Source organism: Homo sapiens, chromosome 7, assembly GCF_000001405.40.
Source record: "Homo sapiens chromosome 7, GRCh38.p14 Primary Assembly".
NCBI classification, from domain to species: domain Eukaryota; kingdom Metazoa; phylum Chordata; class Mammalia; order Primates; family Hominidae; genus Homo; species Homo sapiens.
Genome location: NC_000007.14, coordinates 125,380,125 through 125,404,046, shown reverse-complemented (window position 1 = coordinate 125,404,046; position 23,922 = coordinate 125,380,125).

The following is a 23,922-nucleotide window of genomic DNA, read 5'->3' as shown; positions in this document are numbered from 1 at the left end:
TATAAAGCCGATATTTTTTCTTTAAAATATAATTTATTATCTTAGCAATAAACATTCATCTAATTGTTAAAATATGTAATTTTCTTAATACTTTCTCTTACATATGTGATTGATATGTATATATGAATATGCAAATTTATTTGTTTAAAAGAAATTTTAATTGTTTAATTTTGTCCTATGTTCCTCATATGACCTATGCCACAATATCACATATCTCTGGGAACCATGTATCAGAACAAAAAGAGAAAGAAAAAAACTAATGTCTGGCATTACTGGGAAATAATGTTTTATTATGCAGGAACCTATTACAGTCATGCTGACAAAGAAGAAATATTTGACAAGCTATTTTTTTTTCTCTTAGGAAAATGCTACCTTTGCTTACCTCCTCCCCACACTTCAAAGCAGTGGCTGTCTTCAATATTGGCAGCAGAACAATGCTCAAACGTTTGTTGCACTTGGTACACTCACTTCTCTGCTTTCTGAGACTTGAGTCCATAGATGAAAAGAAGCATTGGTTTTCCTTGGGCTTGAATGGTATCCATCCTGAGAGTAGATGTTTAGAATTAGGAGTCGTATGGTGCCTGCACTGACTGCCAGACCTAATGACAAAAGTGTCAACTTACTTTTTACTAAAGTTATTGTCTTTCTGTTTTGTTTGTGAGATGTACAGCCCTCATACGTAGTGCTACTTAAAGTAAGTTCTGCACCTTGATGTCAGTGAACATGCCCTGGGGAACCGTCTGTCAAAAGGAAAGTGTAGATATTGAGAATAAGCATTGAAAGAATTTTACTGCACTTTGGAATGGCCATAATATCATTACATTTTATGAAAATATTTAACCTCAAAGAATTAGAAATGCAAATTTCGTATTTGATCATAGACATGTTGAGGATCACTGCTCTCAAGCATGGGGTCTAGGGCAAGGTATCTCCTTCCCCAAGTCTAAAAGTGGTATTGAAAATGGAAGAGTAGCACAAATGAAGAAAGTTTACCTTCGCCTTTTCCAAAATCTTGCTTAAGGTGACCTCTATCATCTTTAGTCTTTAATGGCAGAAGTTAGTTGTTTAGATTCCTCTTTATTCTGGTATGGGACTTTAATTAGTATTCTTATAATCATATAAGCACATTCATAAATCTCTAACAATAAACTGTCAGAAATATAAAGGGAACTAGTCATATTATATCCTGTGAACTTTAAGGAATGGAAAAGAAACCTTTAAAGACAGAAAAAAAAAAAACAAGAAAATACAAGGTTAGGCCAGGCGCGATGGCTCACACCTGTAATCCCAGCACTTGGGGAAGCCAAGACAAGTGGATCACCTTAGGTCAGGAGTTTTAGACTAGCCTGGCCCACATGGTGAAACCCCATCTCTACTAAAAACACAAAAATTAGCCAGGTGTGGTGGAGGGCGCTGAGGCAGGTGAATCGCTTGGACCTGGGAGGCAGAGGTTGCAGTGATTGCATTCCAGCCTGGGCGACAGAGTGAGACTCCATCTCAAAAAAAAAGAAAAGAAAAGAAAGGAAATAAAGAAAAAGAAAATACAAGGTTGTACCGTGTGATTGCAAGATCAGTCATGCTTATTTTTCATGAATTCATCTTTGGATTATTGTGTAAGGGTAATCACAATGCCCTAAGAAAAGTACTGATGTCTTTACATCTCCTGTGAATTGAACTATAAAGAAAAACATTGATTTTTTAAGGCCTCTGGTATATTGAAAATGTTATTATGTTTTCTCTCTTTAAAGAATCTATCTAACTCAGCTACTCAACACCATCAGTAAATTTCTATTGTCCTCCTGTATTAAAAACATCTGTTTTATTTTTGAAATGTGTATCATAGCATATGTTCATTTCCTTATCTTCTTTAACTCAGAGCAACTGGTTTCTTCATATAAATTAGTAACTAAATATATGATTATATTTATGCACAAAATTCCAGTTTCATTGTGATGCCATAAAACTGCCTTGCACATATGAAGATAGCTATTCACCTGCTTGGCCACTGAAGATTCCCACTTTTGTGCTGATGAGCTTGTAGTTTTTCAGCTCCAGGTCTCACATTTGCTTTTCTCATAGCTTTATAATAGGCATTACATCACTATGTCCATCCAGGAATAAAAGTTTGTTCAGTATACATTAAAAAAGTTAAATATTACTTTGGGTTAACTATATGTTCAAAGCAGCTGAACTAATTGACTAGATCTGGGGATGAAAAAAAATATGTACCTCAAATTTCTCAACAAAACCAGTAAGTATTACTATACTAATACACATTTTAAAAATTATTTTGTTTTTTTTCTGTGTATTTTTTATAGTCAGTTGTAGGTCATTAGTGGTAAAGATTTGACTATAGAGATTTTATCAGATATAGATGATTATATCTTTGAATCTAACTGCTGCTATCAGCAATTCATGGGATGATAATCATCCTCAGCATTGATATAAATCAAAATCCAAAGGAAAACTGTACAACTGTAGGTGATACTTCATTAGGACCCCTGGCCATGCTGTGAAGGAATTAGGTCAAGCAAGAACTGGCTGTACCTAAAATTGTACACAGGTTTCACATCAACTCTTTCCAGTAATATTTGTTATCTTCTGCTGAAATACTTCAGAGAGATATATTCTTTTTCTCTCCCTTCTTCTTCCTCATAGTAAGGTCCGCTCTTGAGTCCTTTACTCATTCTAGGGCAAGGATGGCTAATAAAACAAAGACAGAGCACTCATCTTCTCAATATGGACAAATGACATAGACTCTACCACATAAATTTTAGATTTTATCTTATATGTTGAATCAGAATTTTCCATGTTTCATGTGAGTGAGAGAGGTGCAATCAGTTTTTCTCATACTACTTAAAATCATGTATTACCCTGCATTATATGTTAGCAACATATTTTGCAGAGAATTAAGACCACTTTTAAAACAATGTCTTGTTTTTACAGCTTTAAGGCATGTCATAGAGGGCTCAAGCTGTCCAAGTTTGTTTGAGTGTGTCTGAAAAGTGAGAGAGGCTATCTAAGCAAAGGAAGGAGAGGTAGATGACATGGCAAAGGCAGAAATCCCCTGTCAGCTCTACAGTCTCATAACATACCACTTGCTCCGTCCCTTGGCACACTCTAGATCCAGATGATGATTCTTTTAGACTCTTAAGCATTGGAAATCCTTTCTTGCCTCAGGGTTTCCATATGTACTTCTCTGTTTTTGCTCCAGGTAAAGGGATATGTACATTTTGCTTCCACAAAAATGTATCTTTTCTCTTATGATACATAGTTTATTCTAGATGATGAGAAACTAATTAATAAGATTTTGATCTCATTTATTTATTTCTTCTAAATTAAGCCATGCCACAAGGGCTTGCCAAGCATAAGCATTTGTAAGAAGATTGATTTGAGCATTTTAGGGTCACTTTTCTTTGTTTGCTAGTTCTTCATCATGGCAAACAATGCCAAAAATATAGACAATGTCAAAGAGCCATAATAGTGCAAGAGAACGTCCCTCCCTGTGTGAATCCTTTGGTCCTCAAAGAGGTGCCCAGGTTTCAGTATCTATGGAATAAAGGGTCTGCCAATTTCAGGAGCCCACCATCATGGAGCTGCTGTCCTTTTTTTCACTTATTGGGCTGAGGATGAGAAGAAATAATTTGTCAAATACCTATTTGTTATTACCACCACTAAATGAATTTTTAGGCAGGAGCTTGACTCAAATCCAATTTTCACCATCAGTGATGAAGAGTTTCATGAAATATAGACAGCCCAATTTCTGCTCCCCCAGAGGATAAAATCTAGTTGGGACTAACATCAAATATGAAGATCTATTCCTGCCATTTGTTATTTTAGCTATAAAAGTAAAAAGCCGACCTCAGCTGTTTGGAAATACCCAAGTGCGGAAGGGAATTGTTAGAGGGATGGGAGGCAGCTGAGTTGGGCTTAGTCTGGGAAGGCTCTGCTTTGCTAATTCTCTGAGGGATTTATCCTTGCCTTGACGACCCTTGAGTTTTTTTTCCAACTGTTTGACATTAACCCTTAGTATTTTTATTCCCTTGGATCTACACAAACACACACACACACACACACACACACACACACCCCACATAAAATGCTTGGGTGGGGGGAAACAATTGGTCTTAAGCTGTTAGATAACAACTTTAGAACAATTTCTAAACAATGTTCAGGGGAAAAAGACAATTTATCTAAAGTTATTAGAGATTTCAATTATTTTGTCTTGTTTTTCTGATTCACAGGGGTTAGTCGAACTTACTGATTACCCTTATTACAATTTACTGATTACCTATTTTTTTCTGTTTCTCTTTGAAATTGGGCCTATTTGAATGGCAGTGATCTAGGGCAGAGAGAAAGTACTTTCTGAAGAGGAAAATAAAAGTAGGAAAGATTGAGCATCAAATCTAGAGTTTAGTTGTTGCCACGGTAACACCAATGGCTTGTTCTGGATGTGCCTGTGAAAGAAACCCTGAAGGCATCAGAAAGAGTGGAGAATAAAAACTGCACTGGAGAGAAAAGAAGAAGGGAAAACACAGTGTCAGGGTTTGCATGTGGTGTGGTAAGAAGCTGTCTCACCGTTTTTGCCAAGCCTGACTCTAAAAGGACTAAATTATACTATCCCTTGGTATATTGATTCCAAACAATATTAACTCACTTTCATGTGTTAGACACAATGCTAAATTTAAGAATACAAAAATACTTTAAAAGTACATTTTCTTTCAAAGTAGTAATAACTTAGCCAAAAAATGTGACATTTATATAACTCATATCAAGTTACCAATTTGCTACCAACTGCTACTCTTGACTTAAAAGCATCTTTTCCTTAAGTTGCTTACTGTATATTTCTCATTTATTGTTTTCCCTGCTGGCAATAATTTACCCAACCAGATCTATTACCATATCCATTCATTTATTAACAAATGTATTTAATTTCTATTCATGTGTTTACTGATGTCACCTACATAGCAGCCAGTGGAGATTTAGCAGTGAATAAAATAGGCATAGTGTCTACATTTTACATTATACCTATGCAATCCCATCATGAGTTTACAATTAAGTAGATAAAACAGATATTTTTAAGAGGGTCACACAAGTAAGTAATATAATCACCAGTTAATGATCAAGGCTATTGTAAATAATGTCTTCTTCCTCTTTTTTTTTTTTTTTTTTTTTTTGAGATGGATTCTCGCTCTGTTGCCCAGGCTGGAGTGCAGTGGCGGGACCTGAGCTCACTGCAAGTTCTGCCTCCTGGGTTCACACCCTTCTCCTGCCTCAGCCTCTCAAGTAGCTGGGATTACAGGCAACCGCCACTACGCCCGGCTAATTTTTTTTTTGTATTTTTAGTAGAGACGGGGTTTCATCGTGTTAGCCAGGTTGGTCTCGATCTCCTGACCTCGTGATCCACCTGTCTCGGCCTCCCAAAGTGCTGGGATTACAGGCGTGAGCCACCGCACCTGGCCCTTCTTTCTGTTCTTTAGGTGACTATCCCTCTCTACCCTCTGAGATGGTTGTAGCAGTAGTATGTGTGTATGCATGTGTGCCTGTGTGTTCTGTATTTGTGTGTGTGTGTGACAGGTGGTCAGGGAGTCTGGGTCTATCAGGCTTGAGGAGACTAGTGTCTATGAGAGAGACAGCCTTCTCAAGAACCATTGGTGGAAAATTGGTTGGTGCTCAGTGCCATCCCAGTATTTTCTAAGTGTCTTGCAATCTGTCTTAGACATTTTCTTCTTACTATCCCCAAATAATATCATTCAGACATAACTTCATGCAGATATCTTTATCTGCAAGTCAAATTTACTTTAGGCCATTCACTTCTATATTTATTCTTTCATTCAATCAATATGCATTGAGTTCCTGCCCTACATAATTATACCACTTATGCTAGGTGTTTGGAAAGAGGGCAATAATCGACAAAGACTAAGCTCTTATATCCTAGAACTTGTATTATTGTTGCAGAAGGAGGAGTGAGAAAGATATTAAATTATGAATAACTATTGATTATTTAAATAAAATTATGATAAATGATACAAAGTAGAAATACAGAAGGCCAGTAAATATTATCATTGAGGGAACTGACTCAGTCTGGAAAGGAGGGTAACAGAAACTTTCCTTGAGAAAATGGCTTTTAAGTGAAGGCCGTAAAGTAGTTAACAGATAAGAACCAGAGAGATAAAGATTCATTCATGCTTTGAGGTAGAAAGTAGCAAGTGATGTGCATATCAAGCTTATGCTGTAAATTCAGATGAGGAAGAAATACTACTTTCTATTTTCCCTTGAAGCAAATTAAAAATGATTCCAATACTCCAATTCTGCAAGACAATGGGAGATTCAATCTCTGTTATTATCCTGGCTTCCCATCACATTTCTCTCAGCCACATGACAGCAGTGATCTTAACCTGAACCTTAACTAGGAAAGCCTTTTCAGTTCAGTTCATTATAGTCACAAAAAAGATGTGTGTAGTCTAGCCTTTGTCATACCTTGAAGTCCAGCTGCTCTGCTGATTCTGTACATTTTTAAGCATAGAGAACACTTCATGGAAAAGAATCCTGGCTCCCAAGTTACAGCATTCTTAAATTTTTTATACATCCTCCACGGGGCCTTACGAGGAAGCCAGCCATGGGCCCCTTCCATTGGCAGAGCTCACTAACAGCCATCAAATCCTCACCCTTACAGATGCTTACCCTCCCTACTCACCTTGCACAAAACCTTTAAATAACTCAGGCTATGGAAGAAAGCAAGTGGCTTGCAAATTTTGTTTTTGCGACTCCCAAAGCAAGAGAACAGAAAATCTTGACAACTTGGTGAGTTTAAAAATAATCAAGAAAAACTAATCAAAATTTAACGTCTCAAGAAATTTTGATGCAGCATATAACATGTTTAAAAATTTAAAATGTTTCACGGTGGCCAGAGAGCAAGGAACTGAGAGACTTTCATTAGTTAGAGAGGAATAAAATTATGCCAGGTCTTGAGTACCACCTAAAATTCATGTCTATTAACATTTTGGAGTAAGATTATATCACTCCATTCTATGTACAGTGTAAAAATATTTCTGCTGTTTTTATCTCTACTTGCCAGCATTAGCCACAAGATGACAAAGCCAGTTTATCTTTTGTCAAAGTTCCTCTTTTTAGCCATTATGCATCCATGGGTCTCCCAGTCCTGTATATGGATGCATTGAGGAGAGAATCCAGATCTGAAAAGTTTAATTTTGTGAACTGACTGGGTCAGAATTGTCAGAAATCCAGTTGTAACTAGGACATGGAAAGCTAGAGCCAGAATTCTGGAGCTGGATGAAGTCAGACATTCCCAATAATCCTAGCCCCCCTGCAGTGGCTTAATTTTAGTGATTGAGCTGCATATGATTCTGTGTTTTCCGGTGAACAGGCTTCTAGTCAGCCTGTTCTGGGCAATCTGGGCAATCCTCATTAAAGATGTTCTTCTCCTTGACACTTTGCAGATATGAGACATGGGAAGTCTTTTCAGGGGACAAGTAGTTCTTGGATTGAGGCTAACGTTTCATCAGCCATGGACGAATTGGGCTGTGAGGTAGTGAAGCACTGTTCATGTCAGCCAGGCTGTGCCAGAGGAGGAGGAGTCCAAAACAGTTGCATAGGTGAACTCTTCTTTCTCAGTTGCTATGGGAAGTGCTAACATGGAGCCCCTTATCGTAGCTGTTTGGGGAAAGGTGATTCTCAGTGTCAAATTCAGAAATAGGACTCTCTTCCCTGGCAATTTGAGCCCAAAACTTTGTACTTTATTATAGAGTTCAGCTCTTTCAGTTTTCGTATACACCACCACTCTAATATATTTCAACCTCTACTTAGGTTAGGACTAGCTTAGAGTCTGCCTGTCTTTCTGCCAGAACCACTTTTATTTTTATTTTCCTAACTTTTATTTTAAGTTCAGGGGTATATGAGCAGGTTTGTTACAGAGGTAAACTTGTGTCATGGAGGGTGGTTGTACACATTATTTCATCACCCAAGTATTAAGCTAAGTATCCATTAGTTATTTTTCCTGATCCTCCCCTTCCTCCCACCCTCTGCCTTCCAATAGGCCCCACGGTGTGCTGTTCCACCCTGTGTGTCCATGCGTTCTCATCATTTATCTCCCACTTATAAGTGAGAACATGTGGTATTTGGTTTTCTGTTTGTGTGTTAGTTTCCTAAGGATAATGACCTCCAGCTCCATTTTTGTCTCTGCAAAGACATGGTATCATTCTTCTTTATGACTGCATAGTATTCCATGGTGTATATGTACAACATTCTCCATATACCATCTGTCATAGATGGGCATTTAGGTTGATTCCATATTCTTCACTATTTTGAACAATACTGCAATAAACATACATGTGCATGGGTCTTTACAATATAATTATATACCTTTGGGTATATAACCAGTAACGGCATTGCTGGGGCAAATTCTATCTTCAGTTCTTTGAGGAACTGCCACACTGTCTTCCACAATGGTTGAACTAATTTACACTCCCGCCAACAGTCTATAAGCGTTCCTTTTTCTTCACCACCTTGACAGCATCTGTTATTTTTGACTTTTTTATAATAGCCATTCTGAATGGTATGAGATGGTATCTCATTGTCGTTTTGATTTTCATTTCTCTAATGATCAGTGGTGTTGAGCTTTTTCTTAATATGCTTGCTGGCCACATGTATGTCTTCTTTTGAGAAGTGTCTTTTCATGTCCTTTGCCCACTTTTTAATGTTTTTGTAAATTTAAGTCCCTTATAGATGCTGGATATTAGATCTTTGTCAGATAGATAGTTTGCAAAAATTTTCTCCCATTCTGTAGGTTGTCTGTTTTCTCTGTTGATAGTTACTTTTTGCTAAGCAGAAGCTCTTTAGCTTAATTAGATCTCATTTGTCAATTTTTGCTTTTGTTGCAATTGCTTTTGGCATCTTCATCATGAAATCTTTGCCCTTGCCTATGTCCTGAATAGTATTACCTAGGTTGTCTCCCATGGTTTTTATAGTTTTTGGTTCTACATTTAAGCCTTTAATCCATCTTGAGTTAATTTTTGTATAAGATGTGAGGAAGGGGTCCAGTTTTAATCATCTGCATGTGGCTACCCAGTTATCCCAGTACCATTTATTTAATAGGGAATCCTTTCCCCATTGCTTGTTTTTGTCAGTTTTGTCAATGATCAGATGGTTGTAGGTGTACGATCTTATTTCTGGGTTCTCAATTTTGTTTTGTTGGTCTACATTTCTGGTTTTGTACCAGTAACATGCTGTTTTGGTTACTGTAGCCCTGTAATGGAGTTTGAAGTCAGGTAGTGTGACGCCTCCAGCTTTGTTCTTTTTGCGCAGGATTGCCTTGGCTATTCGGGCTCTTTTTTGGTTTCATATGAATTTTAAAATAGTTTTCTCTAGTTCTGTGAAGAATGCCAATGGTAGTTTAATAGCCATAGCATTTAATCCATACGTTGCTTTGGGCAGTATGGCCATTTTAACAATATTGATTCTTCCTATCTATGAATATGGAATGTTTTTTCACTTGTTTATGTCATCTCTGATTTCTTTGAGCAGTGGTTTGTAGCTATCTTTGTAGAGATCTTTTACCTCCCTTGTTAGCTGTATTCCTAGGTATTTTGTTCTTTTCATGTCAATTGTGAATTGTTCCTGTTTTGGCTCTTGGCTTTACTTTTTCTTTTTTTTTTTTTTTTTTTTTTTGGTGTATAAGAATGCTAGTGATTTTTGCACATTTATTTTGTATCCTGAGACTTTGCTGAAGTTATTTATCAGCTTTAGAAGCTTTTGTACTGAAACTATCAATTTTCCTAGATATAGCATCATGTTGTCTGGAAAGAGAGACAGTTTGACATCCTCCCTTCATTTCTTTCTCTTGCCTGATTGCCCTGAATAGAACTTCCAATACTATGTTGACTAGGAATGGTTGAGAGAGGGCGTCCTTCTCTTCTGCCAGTTTTCAATGGGAATGCTTCCAGCTTTTTCCCATTCAGTATGATGTTGGCTGTGGGTTTGTCATATATGGCCCTTATTATTTTGAGATATGTTCCTTCAACACCTAGTTTGTTGAGAGTTTTTAACATGAATTGATATTGAATTTCATTGAAAGGCTTTTATGCATGTATTGGGAAAATCATATGGTTTTTGTCTTTAGTTCTCCTTATGTGATAAATCACATTATTGATTTGCATATGTTGAACCAAACTTTCATTCCAGGAATAAATCCCACTTAACTGTGGTGGATGAACTGTTCAGTGTGCTGCTGGATTCAGTTTGACAGTATTTTGTTGGGGATTTTTTCATTGATGTTCATCAAGGATATTGGCCTAAAGTTTTCTTTTTTTGTTGAATCTCTGCCAAGCATTGGTATCAGGATGATGCTGCACTCATAGAATGAGTTAGGAAGTAGTCCCTCCTCCTCACTTTTTTGGAATACTTTCAGTAGGAATGATACCAGCTCTTCTTTTTTCAGTAATCTCTAAAAATCAGATGCCCATGTCAAAGATTAAGTGAAATAATAAATTTGAAGCATTTAACATGGTACCTGTTACATGAAAATAATTGTTTTTGTCATGTAAAAGATGATGGAACACCTGTCATATGAAACATAGTATTTGTAACATAAAATATTATGTTAACAATATTAACATATATTAACATGTTGATATAAATATTAATAATATAAATGACCAATTTAAAAAATATATATGTATTTTGTGTATGTATAAACACACATACAGAAATATATGTGTTTAATTCTTGATTTTCTAAAGAGAATTGGTGTGTAAATTATTACACTAATTAAAAAAATAAAAGTCAATGTTAAAATGAAGTTTGAGTATAAATCAGAAAAATCTAATTATTTATATTATTATCTCATTATCTAAAATCTAATTATTAGAAGGGCATTGCCATAGACTGAATGTTTATGTCCTAACCCCCAGCGTGATAGTATTTGGAGGTGAGACTTTTGAGGGGTAAGACTTTTAGAGGGTGGAATTGGTTTCCTTATAAAGGAGGCCCCAGAGAGCTCCCTCATCTTTTCTTCTAGATGAGGTTACAGGGAAAAGACAGCAATCTGTGAAAAAAAAAAAGGGTGGATTCTTACCAGACACCACATATGCTGGCACCTTAATCTTAGACTTTTCCAGCCTCCAAAACTGTGAGAAATAATTTTCTATTGTTCGTAAGCCATCCATCAGTTTATAGTATTTTGTTACAACAGTCCAAATGGATAAGACAGCCATCTACCATTTAGAACTACATAGTAACCACAAGAAATTATACAATGTTAAATCTCTTGTTTTGTGAGATGCCCCACCCTCTTTGCTTTTCAGAGTGAATTTTGTCTCTTGTTAGCTACCTATCAGGGAGTAAAAGAAGTGGGCAAAATTTAATGTCACATATATTTGGGAGTAATATTGTAGTTCAAAATTCTGATTATATTCTATGCAATTGAGAAAATAAAGGTTTTTTCCTATTTTCTTCTCTTCTTGCCTCTAAGAAACTTTATATATATATATATGAATATATATGTGAATATGTGTGTATGTATGTATGTGTGTATATATATGTGTGTGTATATATGTATATATACATATTTCTTTTTGTCATGACTAAGGGATGGTGAAGAAAGTGTCACAGTACATAGTATGTGAATCCCAGGACTTGTCTAAAAGGACCACTGCAACTGAAAATGTTAGGTCTTGCTCTGAAATATTTTAATTTCACGCAGATATACACCAGGACTCTGATGAAGAAATAAGTACATACTCTGAAAAAAGAGAGAAAGACATTTGAGGAGGCTAACAATAGAGAAGTAGATAAGCTAAACTGATGCTATGTGGCTTGGCTGCGATAGATGTGAATCAGACATTGGGTCATTGGGCATAAGGGCATTAGGGTTGTTTGGAGAAGAGAATAATGCTAATTAGTGAGAGGGAGAGCCAGCCAGGGAAACAGAACCATAAAGCACATGAGGTTTAGTCACTTAGGCAGTATCTGCTCAGCTACTTACAAAGATCGGCATAATGACAAATCATTCACTATTTATACAACAGATGTTTATTTAGTTCCTACCATAAACCGGAATAAGCAATGAGGTTAGGACAGTGGGCAAAGAACAGATTAACAGATAGTAGCATTTGACTATTCTCAGTCAACCAACTAATGTGGTGGTTTTGCTCATAATGAACTGAATTTCTACTGGAATTGTTATACTTTTAGATGCTATCGTTATGATGATAATTTTGTCTCTAAATTATATTTATCATTATAATTAAAAACATTATATATTTCCAACCATGTTTTGATTAATCTTTTAGTAAATATTATTCAGTGTTGATGAGCTCGATCACAGTTCTACTCTCCAATATTTTCTTTAAGAAAAAATTGAATGTGTATTTATAATGATAGCTAAGCCCAAAAAGAATGACAATTTATTCACAAAATAATCACAGGAAATATAAATTTTGAAAGTAATAATGATAAAGCCCTGCTAACATGAGACATATCCTTACTTTAAATGAAATTGGATTCCATTGTTTCCAATAAAAATCAGTGCTTCCTTTGAAACAGTTTCTTTGCACGAGACTGAACAAGTGGCTTGAAAGAAGGATTGAGGCATAAATTTGTAGCGATAGACGGGCTAAAGAAGCACTCTTTTTGAGAGCACTGCTACTTAAGTCATCCACTAATGTGGTACAAAAGAATGACTTGGAAAAGATATGACATATCAATTCAATTAGCAATTATTCTCAACTCATAGCCCTTCCTTAAGATCTATTTGTCACTATAACAAAGACTCTCATGCATCTACAATCTATTCTGGCACATGCTTTTAGCTGGCAAGGAAGAAGTAGTCTGGAAAGTTATTGTTGCCTTCCTACATTGTCTTACAGAAGCTCATAATAAGCCAGAGCTGGAGAAGCATCTGACCACTTCAATTACTCTGCAGGATCAAGTCTAGGTATCTGCAATGCTAGAAAGATTCATGAGCCAGCAGCAGCTGCGGCAGCCACAACAGCCCAGAAAATACCCTCACAAATCCACATCGCCCGAGCTGTTAAGACTTCACTTTCCTGGTTAGGCAACACAGAAAATAAGGACAGAAATAAGCAACGATTGCCAAATAATACAGTTTTCTAAAAGCACCATATCACATTAGCTGATTCCCTTCAATGTTTTCTGCCATATTTTTTTTACTTAAGGCAGAAAAATTAAAATCTTTGAATATCTCAAAGTGAATGTTTAGGTGTAAAGCCAATCTTAACACTTAAAATTTTTAAAAGATGATTAAACAAAGAAGTACCATTTTACAAACTATGCTTATATCTTACTTACCCAAATATGGTTGAGGACCTGATGCTGAGTTTTTGCTAGTATTAGGGAACATTATTTAAGCCAAACATCGTATAATGCAAGTTTTGTGTTTAGTAAAGAACTTTTTATTTGGCCTGTGATTAAATGGGCCATAATAATGAGCCAAAGAATTCCACAATTGACATTTTCTTTTATTTAACATTTATTTTAAGTTTAGGGGTGTATGTGCAGGTTTGTTACACAGGCAAAATTTTGTCATGGGAGTTTGTTGTACAGATCATTTCATCACCCAGGTATTAAGCTTAGTACCCATTAGTTGTTTTTCCTGATTCGCTCTCTCCTCCCACTCTCCACCCACTGAGGCCCCACTGTGTGTTCCATTCCATGAGTCCATGTGTTGTTGTCATTTATCTTGCACCTATAACTGAGAACATGCAGTATTTAGTTTTCTCTTCCTGCATTAGTTTGTTAAGGATAACGACCTCCAGCTCCATCTGTGTACCTACAAAGGACGTGATTTCTTTCTTTTTTATCACTGCATAGTATTCCGTGGTGTATATGTACCACATTTCATCAATGGTTTTGCATTCACAATATATTTTCTTTTAAAAAATACTGCATGAAACGATTGCCTTCCTAAGTGACATCGTAAATTTAACTCAACTCAAAATAGAACTGACCAGGTGAAATACTAACTCAACCAATGTTAGGCCCCATGAAATACACTTCAATACTATATTGATATATTCCTTTTGTTACTATTATCACACTTGTAGTTGTAATAAAAACTAGCTCTAACAAAATAACTGATGTCCAAAAGTCATATAAGATGTGTAGTTGTATCTTATGAGATTAATAAAACGAAGACAGCAGGTTATACATGTAGCTAGTTATTAGTTCTAGAAGTGCAGCTTTGTGATACACTGCTGTGGTTTAAATATTAAAGGGGATGACTCCACATCTTGTGGCTGATTAGGACTTCTAAGACAGTAGCACTGATTTCAGCATTCCTCTGGTTAATTGGCACCCCTTTTATTGGCCAGCCATGGTGTAAAACTTGAGCTGGGAAATACTGAGAGATCCAGACACCAACCTTAAGTGTCTTTCCTCCTTTTCAAATTGGCGTTGCATTATTTCCCCAATCACCTTACCCTCCCACAAAATCCTCTATTTTATCTCTGAAAAGTCGATGACTATTAACATTTTTTTTTGTGAATGCATGGACTGACCCTTTTTAAGATTCCTTTTTCTCATTTGTATTAAGAGTCTTACATATAAATATGCTTAAGGGATTATGGTATGCTATGTGTTTCATTTACTTTGTTGACAAAAGCTATAATGCACTTCTGTTCTATGGTATGTCATGGTAGTGAGAATTCCAAGACAAAAGCAAAAGTGGCAACATGTCGAGGAAGAACTAACATGACATTCCCAGGACTCAGTTTAGGAATAGGAAGTAAGCAGAGAATTGTTTTTCAGTACAATATTAATAATACACAAATAAATTACCCTAGGAAAATGGAGAAAAAGTAAGAAAACTCATGATTCCTCACATCCGTAAAGTTCCATTGCTGCCCATTAGGTCCCTGCTCTTCTGTTCTCCTTATTTTAGGCTTCTATGCCACTCGCTACACATAGCTTAGGGCAAATGATGATTTCCCCCTATGCCTGAGTCAGAGGCAAGGAGAAGGGAGAGAGAGGGATACACTCTTTAGCGAGTGGTAGGTGTGGTATCAATATGTATGCATGTAGATAGATGGGGAAAAGTGGGGAGTGGGAGGTGGGAAAACTGACTGAAAAAGAAGTGGTTATTTTGTAAAATGTTCCTCCAGTCATGAAAACATGCTTGGATAACTATTATTTACTAGGCCCTCAGCTAGTTTCAAACGACTCATTAGGAAATAAAATATGGATTCAGGTCTCACGGAGCTTATGTTTGAATCTCAAATTGGATATTAAACAAATATAGAGACAATCTGCAATAAAGTGCTCTACAATAAAGCAATAAATTAAGTCAGATGTAACACGAAAGATGGCTAGCTTCTGCCCAAATCCCATTCACATGCCCTTCACACAGATACTAAGACCTTATTCCTCCCTACATACGAGATTTAGATAAAACATAACAATACATCAAAGAAATGTCTAGATTCAGACTCCTCCTGATTTTGTAACTTTCATGTCAGAAACTAGAGCCACAGGGGAGATTTGGGATGAGAAACATGATCACTAGGTAGTATAAAAAATAGAATCAGACCAGAGACATCTAAAAAAAAATGACCAGACATGAGAGCCTCCGGAGCGAAGTAAAGTGAGCAAAGTCATGTGTATTTACTTTTATATCCAACTTCCCAACCTGCCCTTTTTCCTCCCTCCATCTTTCACCTCTGTCTCTGAGGACACTAGAGTTTCCCTCCTTTATTCAGACTACATCTTGGGCAATGAGACCAAGGGACTGAATAGACAGCCGTGGTAGCAACAAGCCAAAGAAACAGAAGAGAAGATTCAAGAGTGTTTCCAAGTTCGATGCAGTACTGGTGGGAAGCCCGAGATATTCTGGGTAAGCACTGGCTTTTAAAAATAACTCTGTATAAGAGCCTACACACACAACAACAACAACATTCTACAACAGCTCAGTCCACCAGTAGGTGAGGAATTTTAGGGACTATATGTTATAAATTAACACTCTGTCAAAATGAAAAGTAATGGTATCAAATATTAAAAAAACTCTCACATGTATACTATCAACTTTGTTTTTTTTTTCAAATCTAAGCTGTCTTGCAGTAATTAAAACTAAGCTACAGAAAATATTCTCCCCAAAAAAACTAATGTTGCTATTTTTTATTATAGCAAATTAGGGAAATTGTTTCTAAGAATGTGTGAAGCAGTTTGAGACTAAGTTTAAAATGTTAATAATACCTTTGAGGAGTTCAAAAAAACTCAGCAAATGTTAACTCATTAATTCTCAATACCCATTAGTGATGGTAGGAAAGAAGTGTTATTAGCCTTAATTTACAGAGGCAGAAACTAAAGCACATCTTGAGTAATCAGCTTTTCTAATGTCAATAATCACAGATAACTTTATATCTATGGAGATTCACAGAATTGGTGATCCCTTCAATGTGACTTCAATTACAAGCCATTCATCCAATCCATTGTGCTTCAAAAAAATATACTTGTTTTTATGTACTAGAAATAAACTATAAATATATATGTATAACCACTTATTAATCCTGTTCCTGAACCAATTTTTGTGAAATATCCAGTAAATTATCAGATTTGTTACCCATCAAACATTAGCATGAATAGTTATTGAACTGAAGTAGAAGTAACCTGGAGTACTAAATATAAAGTTAGTAAAGTTATAAAAATTACATGTATGTATGTAAGACATACAGCTAATGGTTAAAGCCTATTAAATTATACACAAACACACAGAAATACTATACATGTTAGCCTAGCTGCAGTTGGCTGTCCTACAAAAAGACTTTTAGTTTAATAAGGTCATTAATTTTTCCACTCTTTATTCATTTCTTCACTAGACAAATTATATATCACCATTAGAGCATGATTGCTCCCTGAAGAAAAAAATGAAAGAACAATAAAATAAGCAAATTTGTAAAAAAAAAATACATTAATACAGTCTAATGAGTTTATTGACTTTAGCTATTAAGGCATATATAAAGTCAAAAGAGGTATTATCAATATATAATTTTTTCTATGACTCTGCAAACTGGTCTCGACAGAGGCACCAATGGGATAACTATATCACAGCCCACTAACACAGAAGTTTTAGGGGAAATAGTAATCATGTATTTTATGCCATTAAAGAAAATAAATAGTAATCATAAGTAATGGGAAATATGATTGTATTCAACAGAAAATGCCTCAAAAGGGTTTTAGGTTCTAGTAATTGCAGGAAGGTCATACAATGGATGCTCCTCCTGTATGAACTCCAGCCTAATGTTATATATGTTTGTGTGTGCGTATCACATATATATGTATTATATATCACATATATATTATATATCACATATATATTATATATCACATATATATTACATATTATATTTATAAAATACATACACTCTCCCTCCCCACAGGGACTCCTTGAAAGAATACTGCATGATGTGTGTATATATCTCTCACCTGGGGGTCTGTCCTAAGATGACTTCTGATGATTCATGTCATTGTGTAGTCCTCGCTCCTTCAATATGGGCTAGACCTAGTGACACTCTCTTCTAACAAATAAAATACAGTAAAAATAGCAAGGTGTTGATTTGGAGATTAGATTACAGAAAGACTGGATTCCATCTGGCTCACTATCCCCTGGAGGCTTCAATCTGGAGGAAGATAGCTGCCTTGTTTTGAGTAAACTTACTTAAGAGACTATGTGGCAAGGCACTGATACCTCCAACCAAATACACTGAGGACTTCAGATTGTCGGCATCCCTGTGAGCGAGCACAGGAGTAGCTCTTGTAAGACCATCCAATATCCACATGAGTGAACTCAGATTGATTTCTCCCAGTCAAGCCTTGAGATGACTGCACCTGGTCTACACCTTGATTGCAGCTTTGTGGGAGATCCTGAGGCAGAGGACACAAATTAAGTTGCACCTGAATTTCCGACCCTCAGAAACTGTGAGATAATAAATCCTTGTTGTTTTAAGCAGCTACATTTTGGAGGAATTTGTTATGCATCACAAATATACATTTGTAATGAGAAATATCACATAATATTATTCAACAGGGATTCCTCAAAGAAGGTCTCAGATTCTGGAAATTTCAGGAATCTGTACTGACTTACTTTCCCACAGATATTAATTTTAAATGCTGTTCAAAATACATGTTAAAAAACTATTCAATTTTTTTTAATTTTATTATTATTATACTTTAAGTTTTAGGGTACATGTGCACAATGTGCAGGTTTGTTACATATGTATACATGTGCCATGTTGGTGTGCTGCACCCATTAACTCATCATTTAACATTAGGTATATCTCCTAATGCTATCCCTCCCCGCTCCCCCCCACCCCACAACAGTCCCCAGAGTGTGATGTTCCCCTTCCTGTGTCCATGTGTTCTCATTGTTCAATTCCCACCTATGAGTGAGAACATGTGATGTTTGGTTTTTTGTCCTTGCGATAGTTTGCTGAGAATGATGGTTTCCAGTTTCATCCGTGTCCCTACAAAGGTCATGAACTCATCATTTTTTATGGCTGCATAGTATTCCATGGTGTATATGTGCCAGATTTTCTTAATCCAGTCTATCGTTGTTGGACATTTGTGTTGGTTCCAAGTCTTTGCTATTGTGAATAGTGCTGCAATAAACATACATGTGCATGTGTCTTTATAGCAGCATGATTTATAATCCTTTGTGTATATACCCAGTAATAGGATGGCTGGGTCAAATGGTATTTCTAGTTCTAGATCCCTGAGGAATCACCACACTGACTTCCATAATGGTTGAACTAATTTACAGTCCCACCAACAGTGTAAAAGTGTTCTTATTTCTCCACATCCTCTCCAGCACCTGTTGTTTCCTGACTTTTTAATGATCGCCATTCTAACTGGTGTGAGATGATATCTCATTGTGGTTTTGATTTGCATTTCTCTGATGGCCAGTGATGATGAGCATTTTTCATGTGTTATTTGGCTGCATAAATGTCTTCTTTTGCTTTGACAAAATTCAACAGCCCTTCATGCTAAAAACTCTCAATAAATTAGGTATTGATGGGACGTATCTCAAAATAATAAGAGCTATCTATGACAAACCCACAGCCAATATCATACTGAATGGGCAAAAACTGGAAGCATTCCCTTTGAAAACTGGCACAAGACAGGGATGTCCTCTCTCACCACTCCTATTCAACATAGTGTTGGAAGTTCTGGCCAGGGCAATTAGGCAGGAGAAGGAAATAAAGGGTATTCAATTAGGAAAAGAGGAAGTCAAATTGTCCCTGTTTGCAGATGACATGATTGTATATCTAGAAAACCCCATTGTCTCAGCCCAAAATCTCCTTAACCTGATAAGCAACTTCAGGAAAGTCTCAGGATACAAAATCAATATACAAAAATCACAAGCATTCTTACACAACAATAACAGACAAACAGAGTGCCAAATCATGAGTAAACTCCCATTCACAATTGCTTCAAAGAGAATAAAATACCTAGGAATCCAACTTAAAAGGGATGTGAAGGACCTCTTCAAGGAGAACTACAAACCACTGCTCAAGGAAATAAAAGAGCATACAAACAAATGGAAGAACATTCCATGCTTATGGGTAGGAAGAATCAATATCATGAAAATGGCCATACTGCCCAAGGTAATTTATAGATTCAATGCCATCCCCATCAAGCTACCAATGACTTTCTTCACAGAATTGGAAAAAACTACTTTAAAGTTCATATGGAACCAAAAAAGAGCCCGCATTGCCAAGTCAATTCTAAGCCAAAAGAACAAAGCTGGAGGCATCATGCTACCTGACTTCAAACTATACTACAAGGCTACAGTAACCAAAACAGCATGGTACTGGTACCAAAACAGAGATGTAGATCAATGAAACAGAACAGAGCCCTCAGAAATAATGCCGCATACCTACAACCATCTGATCTTTGACAAACCTGACAAAAACAAGCAATGGGGAAAGGATTCCCTATTTAATAAATGGTGCTGGGAAAACTGGCTAGCCATATGTAGAAAGCGAAACTGGATCCCTTCCTTACACCTTATACAAAAATTAATTCAAGATGCATTAAAGACTTAAATGTTAGACCTAAAACCATAAAAACCCTAGAAGAAAACCTAGGCAATACCATTCAGGACATAGGCATGGGCAAGGACTTCATGTCTAAAACACCAAAAGCAATGGCAACAAAAGCCAAAATTGACAAATGGGATCTAATTAAACTAAAGAGCTTCTGCACAGCAAAAGAAACTGCCATCAGAGTGAACAGGCAACCTACAAAATAGGAGAAAATTTTCGCAACCTACTCATCTGACAAAGGGCTAATATCCAGAATCTACAATGAACTCAAACAAATTTACAAGAAAAAAACAAACAACCCCATCAAAAAGTGGGTGAAGGATAAGAAAACTATTCAATTTTTGAAAGAATGATCAAAGTAGGCAGAGACTGGCACGTTTTGATTCTTGAAAGAAAGGAACCCTTGAAGATATATGTTTACATGTCTCCTTCTCTGAGAGCCCTCTATAGGTCACATGGAAGAATACCCTTAGAACTCAATCAGAAGTTGAAGATCCAGGCTGTCAGAATAACTGTAAAGCAGGGGAGGAAAATGCAGATGGAAGGAAATCACAGAGAAGTAAGGTTATGTATATGTATATACACAAATACACAATATGTATATATCCTTCTCAAATTCGTGGCTGATTCATGATCTTTACATTTATGGGACAGAGAAATCCAGTTGAAAACTACAGAAGACTAAAACCTGAGCATAGATTTTAGTTGCTGTGCACAACATAGAACATGGAATTTAGTGTTTAAATTCTACTACTTAGAGGGTGTCAGTAGACAATCTGAGCTTTACATTGAACCCCCAGCTGGATAATGCTCTCTGAGTAAATACCACATGCCAGGAATAAGAATTATCCCTAAGATTGGAAAAAATAAGACTATCTACAGTTAAGCCAACATTCTACTAGTTTCACAGTGTTTTTAAGATAACCAAGTACATAATAGCAAATGTCAAAAGTGTTTGGAGGAGAGAATAGATGCCAGATTCTGTACATGGCATCACTGAAAATTCTTAGTATGCAATCAAATGTAGAGGATTATTGCTAAGTTTGTAAGTTAGTAATTACAAAAAATATGAAGGCACAGAAAAATGTGACCCAAATAAAAACCAAAATCAATCACGAAAAATGGACCTCAAGATGATTCAGCATTTGGAATTAGCAGGAAAAAAAAAAATTTTTAAAGGGCAATTTGAAATATGTGCAATGACATAAAATTAAAGATGGCTGCAATGAGTGAACAGTTGAAGAAACTCAGAATCTTTTTTAAAGTCGGAATTTCTGATTGCAGTAGGAAATATATGAAATTATAAATAAACTGGAATTACATTAATATAGCAGTAGATTAGATATGGAAGAAGAAAGGATCAGAGAAATTGAAGACAGATAAACAGAAATTACCCATTCTAAAAAACAAACAAAAAAGACTAAAGATTAAAAAAAAGGACTGAAAAAAATCAAAAATACATCAGGAACTTTTGGACAAACATTAAGCAGCCTAACATACATAACACTGGAATAACAAAAGAAGAGGAGATCTAGAAGAAGTAGAATAATTATTTAAAACAGCAATGATCCCTAAAAATGCCAAATAGTGTAAAAATTAACTTACTGAATGAAGAATCTCAAAATCCTCAAGAAGGTAAATAAAGGAAAACTATACATGGAAAAATCATTAAAAAATTAATGAAGAATAATTTGGTTGAGGGCAGTGCCTCACTCCTGTAATCCCAGCACTTTGGGAGGCTAAGGTGGGTGGATCGATTGAGCCCAGGAGTTTGAGACCAGCCTGGGAAACATGGAAAATCCCCTAATCTACGAAGAATGCAAAAATTAGCTGAGCATGGTAGTGCTTGCCTGTAGTCCCAGCTACTCGGGAGGCTGAGGTAGGAAGATCACTTGAGCCCGGGAGGCAGAGGTTGCAGTAAGCCAAGATGGCACCACTGCACTTCTGCCTGGGCAACAGGGCCAGACACTGTATCCAAAACATAAAAAAGGAAAACTTAAAAATATCCAGAGGCCGGGCGTGGTGGCTCACGCCTGTAATCCCAACACTTTGGGAGGCCGAGGCGGGCGGATCACGAGGTCAGGAGATCAAGACCATCCTGGCTAACACAGTGAAATCCCATCTCTGCTAAAAATACAAAAAATTAGTCGGGCGTGGTGGCAGTCGCCTGTAGTCCCAACTACTTGGGAGGCTGAGGCAGGAGAATGGCGTGAACCCAGGAGGCGGAACTTGCAGTGAGCGGAGATGGCGCCAGTGCACTCCAACCTGGGTGACAGAGCTAGACTCCGTCTCAAAAAAAAAAAAAAAAAAAAAAAAAAAATCCAGAGAAGGGGACAAAGACACACACTGTCAATCCATAATTCTGTATCCTGAAATATATTCTGAAAAAAAGACAAAATACATTTTTAAATAGATTGTTCAAGATGTATAAAGCTGCAGTAATTAAGGCATGGTAATATAAGTAGAAGACAGACAGAGTAAAATATAATAATGAGCCCCAAATTGCATCAGCACTTGGAAAGAGTTAGTCAGTTTTGTTAAAATTAAACTTTCATTTACCATAAAATAGAGCAATCAATTCTTTTTCTGGGTATTTACCCAATGGAAATGAAAATATATGTTCAAATGAAGATCGGTATGTGGATTTTTATAGCAACTTTATAGCCCAGGACAAGAAACAATCCACATGTTCAAAACATGCATAGGTTACACATAAAATGATAAAAAATAATAATAAAAGACACTGCTAGCTACTGCCTGTGGGTGGGTGGATGAGTTTTACCGCAAAGCAGCAAGAGGAAACATTTTGTGTTGATGAAATGCTCCTTGTCTTGATTGGTGTGGTGGTTGTATGACTGAAATCATTTATTGAAATCCATTGAATTGTATTTTGTGAGTGAGTGAATTTTAACTGTATGCAAATTATACCACAATTAAACCTGATTTGGAAAATAGAGGCCTTTTAATTCATCAAATGAACATTTGATTGAAGTACTTTATGATTATGTAAAATAATTTAGGATTATAAGTTAGTTTAGAAAAGAGATTTGAGGATTTACTTGCCTTAAAATAATTGGATGGCAACTTAGGGAAATTGGACACTCACTACTCAGCTCCAAATTAATAAACTAAAACCAGTAAGTAGCAATTGCAAAAAGAGAGATTTTATTTCTGTATAAGGAAAACGTCCCAACAATAACAGAATAGCTTATTCTATGAGTTAGTGAGTGCCTTACCAGTCAACTAAGAAGCAGCTGGAGGTCCACCTATCTGAGATGAAGTAGATGGGTTTATTACATTGTTTGGATAGGTTTTCTTAAGGATTCTTTGTAATTATTAGGGTCTCTGGTTTTATGCTATAAATCTATATGACTGGAATAGAAAACATGAGATAATATTTCAATTTTTGTGAAATCAGTTTTATCTCCATCTTGAATTTTGTAGGTTCTGTCAGTTTTGACACAATGTCAATTAAAATTATATTCTTTATAACTTACACAAAATGAAGAAAGTAGATCAATAAATTATTAAGTGCCACTTTGGTACTACAACAAATTTAGAATTTACAATATTTTCATAAAACCTGTTAATATTCTACTTTCTTTCTTCTCTAATACCATAAGCATCACCCCCAAGTAAATGTGTATATTTTCAAACATAAATTTAATTATTTGCATCTGTTTTAAAGATTGTTGATTCTACCATGTAAAAATTTTGTTTATCTGAAATATCATCATCGTAGTTTTTAAATTGATTAATGTATTTATATACTAAATATAAGTAAATCTTTTTGGTTGTGTAATTTTTTTGTCTCTTAGATTTTGATAATGGAATCACATTCCAGAAACTG